At 35.3% G+C, this 9,110-nt stretch overlaps 1 pseudogene; it reads right to left on the bottom strand.

The window, feature by feature from the left end:
* Positions 7,411 to 8,000, bottom strand: HPRT1P3 (hypoxanthine phosphoribosyltransferase 1 pseudogene 3; annotated as a pseudogene).

A 9,110-nucleotide genomic window follows, 5' to 3' on the forward strand; every position in this document is an offset into this window, starting at 1 on the left:
GGTACAACAAAAGCTTTACTAAGCAGATAGACACAGAACTAGAATGTTTGATAATTTTACTGGTGATATCAATGGGACTCTAGATGTTTTCAAACTGAATTTGAACTCTCATTTTAGGCTTCGTATTCTGCTTTTTCCATTTCATTAATGACACAAACATGATCCAAATCCCTGAAATACTCATTATAGTGATAACCTACAGATCACACTTAAAACAGTTCCAGATTTACTGCTGGGGAAGGTCTTATGATTCATGGCTTACATCCTGTCCCCAGGTAAAATATCTTATAATTTTCTCAAACTGTTGGTGTACTGATTAATACATAACCTACTGACATGGAAAAGGACACTTACTTCTTTCTAAATTATGAAGTTTTACTGAGTGTAAACTTCACGATTCTATGTGAATGTCCTCCATTCCACATAGAACATTTTAGCCTATGTGTTGTCATCTGTAACCAATGAACGTAACCTCTGAATTATACCTTCCAATGAAAAAGGACAACTCTGATATGAGGAGACCCGCTTCTCCTAAACTTTCTTATTAAAACATTTCAAGTTGTTGGGCTGGGTGCTGTGGCTCATGCCTGTAATCCCAGCATTTTGGAAGGCTGAGGCGGGCAGATAGCTTGAGGTCAGGAGTTCAAGATGAGCCTGGCCAACATGGTGAAACCCCATCACCACTAAATATAAAAGTTAGCTGGGCATTAGCCAGGTGTGGTGGTGTGTACCTGTAATCTCAGCTACTCAGGAGGCTGAGGCACGAGAATTGCTTGAACCCTGGAGGTGGAGGTTGCAGTGAGCCAAGATCACACCACTGTACTCCAGCCTGGGTAACAGAGCAAGACCCTGTTTCAAAAAAAAAAAAAAAAAAAGCCAAGTTGTAATAGACTTCAAAGCATCCTTAACTTTGTTGGTGTGACTTCCTGAGTTGATCTACACATTTGGCTTCCAATAAACCTTAATCATATTATTTATGCCTTAAAAGCCTTAATTTTGGTCAACAAAATGGTGTCATGGGCAGGATTTTGGAATGACCTCCCCGGACAACCCAGCCAATTTCCAACCTTTGTGCAGGTAACAGAAATGAATTCATTGCATTTCCAAACTTGGATTCCCTTGCTGGATGCTACAGATGAGTTCTTCCCAAAATTAATGAATGTCCTGTCTTAGCCAAAGCCCTGGTTTATTGAAGCTAGTCTCCTGTTTGGCTATGAAGTACAATGACTCTCCTGGAATGAGAGTTACTGCTACGAATTCAACCTAAGGGTTTTTGTTGAATTCTAAGACAGGTTAAAATAGTCTGTAAATTGTTTTCCAGGAGGCTTGGGGCAAGATACCTTTTCCTTAATGGTCACATGAGGACACTTTTGCTCCACTACATAGCTTGTCTCACTCAAAACAACCAAAACAGAAAATGGGTCATCTAAGGCTGAGGATGCACCAGCTGGGTTTACATAAAATATATACAGTCCTTCTACTTAAATAAGTGGACTAACCTAAACTGGGATGGTTATAAGCAATAATAGCCAGAGTGGGGATGTTTTAGACGTGGCTAAAACAACATCTTTACATACAAAATTGAAAAAAAATTGGTTTTAGAACAACACAAATTAAATGCGAGACTTATTTCCAATAGCACCCAAAAGCCTCTAAAGTTCCAACTGTTCCCACTCCTTCTACCTATTATCTAAACTCATTCCTTTCTGCTTATTCCCTTGGCTCCTATACACCTCTTAGGCAGAAACTTTGAAATTTCACAATGCACACATTTTCTTCTCTGAAAATGGCAAAGCACATTTAAATTTAAAACAAAATGAACAAAGAGAACAAAAATCTCTTGTCAAATTGTAACCGCCAGTGTTGGAAAAATGGCCTGGTGGGAGATGATTGGATCATGGGGGGTGGACTTTCTCCTTGCTGTTCTCATGATAGTGAGTGAGTTCTCATAATATCTGGTTGTTTAAAAGTGTGTAGTACCTCTTCCTTCTTTTTCTTCCTCCTGCTATGTAAAATGTGCCTCCCTCCTTTTCCCTGTTCGCCATGATTTTAAGTTTCCTGAGGCCTTCCCAGCCAAGCTTCCTGTAAAGCTTGTGAAACTGTGAGTCAATTAAACCTCTTTTCTTTATAAATTACCCAATCTCAAGTAGTTCTTTATAGCAATGCAAGAATGGACTAATACAATATGCATTATGTTATATGTCATGTCTATATGGTAGCAAGTTGACTAGGTTCATGTTATAATCCCAGCACTTTGGGAGGCCAAATGGGAGAATCACTTCAGCCCAAGAGTTTGACCCTAGCCTAGGCAAGATGGTGAGACCCTGTATCTACAAAATATTTAAAAATTAGCTGGGGGTTGTAGTGTGCAACTGTAGTGTCAGCTACTTAGGAGGCTAAGGTAGGTAGATCTCTTGAGCCCAGGAGCTCAAACCTGCATTGAGCTATGATCACACCACTGCATTCCAGCCTAGGTGACAAAGCAAGACCCTGCCTCTAAAAACAATAATACTAATTAAATGAATGAATGAATGAATAAATAAATGCTCAGAAACTAGTAAGCCCAAATATTTTCCAGGTTCACATGACTTAAATCTTTACTAAACTAATTATAAAACTTTTGGTAAAATAAAAATAACTTTAAAATTGTTGACCTATATTTTTGCCTGGATTTATTAGTCAGACAGTTTTATGTTTGTCTCTGATAGATATTTTAAGGTGTCAGGGTTTAACATAAAAGTTACAAAATCATAAACCCAGAAAATAACAAAATAATCTTTGTGTAATTTTTTGGTAGGTAAGACTTATTTAGTATTGTTGGTTTAATAAAAACAGCTGTATTTTCTAAGTCATTGACAACATGCCTGCATATTTAAAGTTCGTACTTAAGTAAACACCTGATATTTACAGGCTATAAAATTGGTTAACAGAAAAATAAAATAATGACTAACTTTGTCTAATACCTCAGTTCTTATAAGTAATCTAGTTATTAAATAAATTAAATAAATTAAATAATTAAATAAATTAGGTAAATATAAATGGAGCAAATGTTTATAAATTTTAATGTAATTTTAAATCTTAGAGTTATGTTAAATAAGATACTCATTAAATGTCTGGGTCATTTCCAATTAAAAATTATGTTATAAGGAAATATGTTTCTAAAAATTATAAAATGGTTCTCATCTATAAATACCAGTATGTGATAGAGAAGTCAAGATTTCTTGCTTCCCAGGTTTTCACTAAAAATTTAAATTCTCACTGATATATATATAATTTTTTATATAAAGTATACCAAAAATAGGATATGTTTTAAAATAAAAAGCATACAAAATACATAGCAATGTGTTTTTTATTAAAAGTAATTTTATCTACTTCAGGGGTTATGTAAAGGTTATTTATAAAACAAGATAGAACTAAACCAGTAAGCAAGAGAGAGAGAGAGATGTAGAAAAGTTATGGATATAAAGATATATTTTTTAATAAAAATAGTTTAAAAAAGAGAATAATATTGTATGAAAAATATTATATGGTAAGTTTTTGTTCTAAAATAAAACCACTGTTTATTTTAAAAAGTATAGGACAAAACAAAAAGTCCAAAAATGTGGTAAATAGTCTGTGTAAGCCACAACGATATGGCTCATAAAACAGGAATTTATGAAAGAAATTTTGTACATGATCAAGTTGACTATATAAAAGAAATTACTTAACAGTCTTTCTAAATATCAAATGAACTTTGATATTAAAAATACACTAATACAAAACTGAAAATCTTAGTCTCCTATGTTAGAACAACAAGATTTTCTCAAAGTTTTGATTTACTCTTAATAAAATTACAAAGAGTTTTGATTTTTTTTTTTTTTAAGACAGGGTCTCACTCTGTTACCCAGCCTGGAGTGCAGTGGTGCAATCTCAGCCCACCGCAACCTCCACCTCCTGGGCTCAAGCTATCCTCCCAACTCCTGAGTAGCTGAGACCACAGTTCTGACTCACCACACCTGGCTAATTTTTAAATTTTTTGTAGAGATGGGGTTTTACCATGTCACCACGGCTGGTCTCAAACTCCTGGTTCAAGTGGTCTGCCTGCCTCAGCCTCCCAAATTGCTGGGATTACAGGTATGAGCCACCATGCCTGGCCATTCACTTTTTAATTCTACATATATCATTGCCTTCTGTTTCTTTTTCCTGTAAAAAGGTTTATCTTTTTATTGGGTGAAATGTTAACTCTCTTCTTCAAACTTTTTATAAACTCCTGTAATGTTTTCTCTGGTTCTAACTTTACTATCATGGCCCGACACTAAATGTTTTATTTTAAAGCTCTAAAAAACAATGTTTTCCTTTAGCATAACTTGATTCTGTACCTTTGGCTTTTCTTGATATGTCTAAATAGTTCAATGTAATAAGGAAATCTCCTATGTTGTTACTAAGAGCCATGCGTTTTCCTGCTCAAGGTACCAGGAGTGCACCACTGCACTCCAGGCTGGGTAACAGAGTGAGAACCTGTCTTAAAAAAAAAAAATCAAAACTCTTTGTAATTTTATTAAGAGTAAATCAAAACTTTGAGAAAATCTTGTTGTTCTAACATAGGAGACTAAGATTTTCAGTTTTGTATTAGTGTATTTTTAATATCAAAGTTCATTTGATTTTTTTTGTTATTTTCATTCCTCTATAATACAGTGTTCACTCATAACCCTGGACACAATTTTTCTGTGTCTGATTAAATTCAAGTACCCTTTTCATCATATTTGACTTCCAGATTATCTAAATGCACTTCCCAGAAGGAAAAACAATCACAGTACAGGAAGTTTTTCTTTACCTTTTGGTAACTGGCCTAAAAAACAAAGATTTGGTGTTTTCTCAAGATAATTCCTGTGTTGTATTTTTAAAAGATTTTTGAATCCTTAAGAAAACTGAGTCTTAAAAGAGTGAAAGTTTTTGCATACAGGTTACCTTCTATATTGCTTTTAAGGTCCCTATGACTGTTACTCTCATCAAATCAATAACAATTATTTTACAATGACCTGTGATTCTGTTTTACACAAATGGTTTAAACATTTGAACATCTTTGATGGTTTTCCCCAGGATCCAAATCTTAAATTAAGTCTTCTTGGCCTAAAATTAACTTTGAGATTTTCTAGTTGGGCCCTGGAAAGCCTCAAAAAATTTCTCATCTTGTAAAAATATTAAATGATTAGATTTGGTTAAATTGTATGGGAGACATTGTCAAATGCTAAATGATACCAGATCTTCTTTCAGTTACATTTATGGGTATGTTATTGATGTAACTATTCCAAAAATTATATAAGTTCATAAAAATATAATGTGTCATTAGTCATAATTTCAATTGTTATGTTAACTTTTCTAAAGTTATATTTATATGGATCTGTTATTAATGTGAATATTCTAAAGATAATATAAAATTTGTAAAAGTCTGGTGATTCTGATGTGACACTGTCAGTCATAATTCTGGTTATTATCTTAAAATGCTACATGTAATAAAAATAACTAAATTTTCTTGTGAGTTGGAAACTTTTATCACATTTTATCATGACTCTTTTAAGTTTTTGTCATTTACAGTTATTGTTATAAATTCTTCTCTAAAAATTTATAATTAATTATAATCTGAAACTGCTTTCCATGGAAAAACTAATAAATACTCTTAAACACAGATTTCTAATAATTTAAGATAAGTGGACTAAATAAATACTTCCATAACTCTAATAAAAACTGATACATAAAGATTACCAACACAGGCCAGGCACAGTGGCTTACATTTGTAATCCCAGCACTTTGGGAGGCCAAGGTGGGTAGATCACTTGAGGTCAGGAGTTTGAGACCATCCTGGCCACCATGGCGAAACCCTGTTTCTACTAAAAATACAAAAATTAGCTGGGTGTGGTGGCACATGCCTGTAATCCCAGCTACTCAGGAGGCTAAGGCATGAGAATCACTTGAACCCGGGAGACAGAGGTTGCAGAGAGCCGAGATCCTGCCACTGTACTCCAGCCTGGGCAACAGAGTGAGACTTTGCCAAAAAAAATTAAAAAATTCCAACACAGCATTAAACAGAGCAAAAATTACATGGGACTGAATGAATGGAGAACTAAAATCATTTTTATTACTTTTGTTGAAAACAATGCTAATTATTTTTATATTCTGTTTTCCAAAGTAAAAAAAAATTCTTCTCCCTTATACTATTTATATCTTAGAACAATTGAGTGAAGTATACATTTGTAAACAAAAATAACATTTACCTTTCTCTTAAGCTAACTAACTGTTCCAGAATTTAAAAACTTTTCTTCAATGGCTGAGGCCAAAATAATGGTCACCCAGTGTGTTAGTCCATTCTCCCACTGCTATAAATATACCACCCAAGACTGGGTAATTTATAAATAAAGGAGGTTGAATTGACTCACAGTTCTGGTTGGCTGGGGAGGCCTCAGGAAACTTACAATCATGGCAGAAGGGAAAGCAGGCACATCTTACATGGCAGCAGGTGAGAGTGAGCATGTGACCGAAGCAAAGCGGGAAGAGCCCCTTATAAAACCATCAGATCTTGTGGGAGCTCACTCACTATCAAAAGAGCAGCATGGGGGAAACAACCTCCATGATTTAATCACCTTCCGTCTGCCCTCTCCCTTGACACCTAAGGATTACAATTCAAGATGAGATTTGGGTGGGGACAGAAACCTAATCATATCACCCAGTGACTGGAGATGATTCATTATCCACAAAAACAACATATTTTTCTCATATTATGACCTACCAAATGCTGCTAACAATGTGATCCACCTGTAATAACAAGTTCTCTTCCTTCACTGAGAGACATGACTTCCTGGAAATGAGCCTTTTCAGCACTGGGGGATAAAGAATGTCTATCACTCTAAACAGAGACTAATCTTCCATGTTTTCATGTATCAAAAGGGGGAAATGATAACCTATAGATCACAAATTAATGGCCTGGGGAAGTTCTAATGTTTCATTGCTTACATCGTGTCCCTAAGTATAAAAGTCTTATTGTGAGTCACTCAAATCTTATCATGAGTTCCTCAAACTGTTGATGAACTGATTAATATGTACAGGACTACTGATAATAAGAGGACACTGATTTGTTCCAAATCATGAAGTTATATTGATTGACTTACACATAGAACATTTTTGCCTTTATGTTGTAACATGTAGCCAATGATTGAAACCTCTGTATTGTATCCTCCAGTGAAAAAAGACAATTCTAATGTGAGGAGTCCCCTTCCCTTCTCCTAAACTTTCTTATAGAAGCGTTCTAACTTGTAAACAAACTTTGGAATATGCCCAACTTTTTCGCTGTATCTTCCCGGGTTGATCCTCACGTTTGGCTTCCATTAAACCTTAATCAAATTATTTTTGCCTCGACAGCCTTAATTTTGGTTGACAATAGAAAAGGGCATATCCTGCAACAAGTTTGTCTGGAATTTCAAATCCAACAAAGTCTGGCCTATTTCTAACACTCTGAAGGGTGCTTTCTCACTAGCGAGCTTGCAAACCTTGACCATTTTTAGATTATAGTACTTGACCCAGAAGGCAAGGTTGGCATTGTTTTGCCAGTGTCAATTACATCTTCAAAAATCAAGACATTCTTTCTAGTTAAAGTTGAAGGATCATCGCCACCAATTACCTTTATATCCCCTGTTGACTGGTCATTACAGTAGCTCCTTGCTCTGTATTGGCTCTATCATAGGAATGGCTCTATGACTATTTCTATTCAGGTGCTTTGATGTTATCTAGCAGGTCAGCAAAAAAAGTACAACCCCCCTTGAACAAACAGAAGGCTACAATGTGAGAGGCTCCTATCTCCTTCATCACATCTCAGGCAAGTCGTTTGGTCCTGTTCACAATCAGTCCATGAGGAATAAAACCTTTTGCAAATCCTCAGTGTAATGATGAGGTATATGATATAAATCTAGGTTATAACCTGGTTCATCATCACTAATCATGATGCTGGGGCTGTGGGTAACAATAATGGACTTTATTTGTTATTTTTGTCTAATATCTATTGACCGTTTTTATAATGCTTCATGTAATAGGACTGCTAATAATGGGTTAGTTCAATTCAGTATATTATAAATCTTAAAATGCTTTCTTCATTAAGTAAAATAAAGACTTCTCTATATTTGTATTATTTAATCGACCGAAAACATTTTAGCAGCATTGCCTCAGGATATGAGGTAAATCCTGGCTTCTTGGGCATCATTTAAAATAGATATAGATGGATAGAGCTTAATATCTGTTGATGATTCTAGTGATCTGACTCTACTTATAATTTAGAAAGCAGAGCATTTTTACAACTTAGATCCTCATTTGACAATGAGTTCTTCTATCTGAACAGGAGACATAGCTACTGGAGCCAGGTGGACTAAATACAGGTGAATATAGGGTGAGCAGGCATTATTTAATGAGTGTATTTGTTAATTAAGGCCAAGTTAAAGCAGAAACCAGTTTATCATGAGCACTGTCATGGCTAGCAATTCAATATACTCTAACAGATCCTTGACCAATGACAAGGGACTGGCCATAAGAATCTGGGCAGGTATTTGGGGTATGGCGACCTTGAGTGTGGGCCCTTTTAAAGTGGGACTCGAGGTCCTTATATGTACAGTTTGGTCCCTGGGCACTTGACATGCATATATCCATATTCTTAACATTCTATTTTTTTTTTTTTTTTACAAAAAATCATTTTGAAAGCAGAGATGATGCTACTGGTAATAGTTATTCCAACAGATTTTAGCCAATATTTAGTGAGCCCCTGCTGTGTACCAGGCACTGTGCAATGGGTGAGAGTGAAAATATCACCAAGATCCGTCCACTGCCTTCAGAGAACCCAAAGTTATCATTGTTCTGCAGGGGCGAGTAGAGAAAGACAGGAAATTTGTTGGAGTAAAACATTTCTCCCAGTGGGCAATGGTTATAGGTTAGCTCATGTAATCCTTTCAACAACCTGATGAGATATGGTATTATTCCAATTTTACAACTAAGGAAGCATTAAGACACACTATGCCAGGGGTTGCAAGCTCAAATAAATCCAGGTATCAGGCAGGTAACCAAACTGAGATAAGCAGCCCAAGTGTAAGATCACA

This window comes from Homo sapiens, chromosome 11 (genome assembly GCF_000001405.40).
Source record: "Homo sapiens chromosome 11, GRCh38.p14 Primary Assembly".
In the NCBI taxonomy this organism is placed as follows: domain Eukaryota; kingdom Metazoa; phylum Chordata; class Mammalia; order Primates; family Hominidae; genus Homo; species Homo sapiens.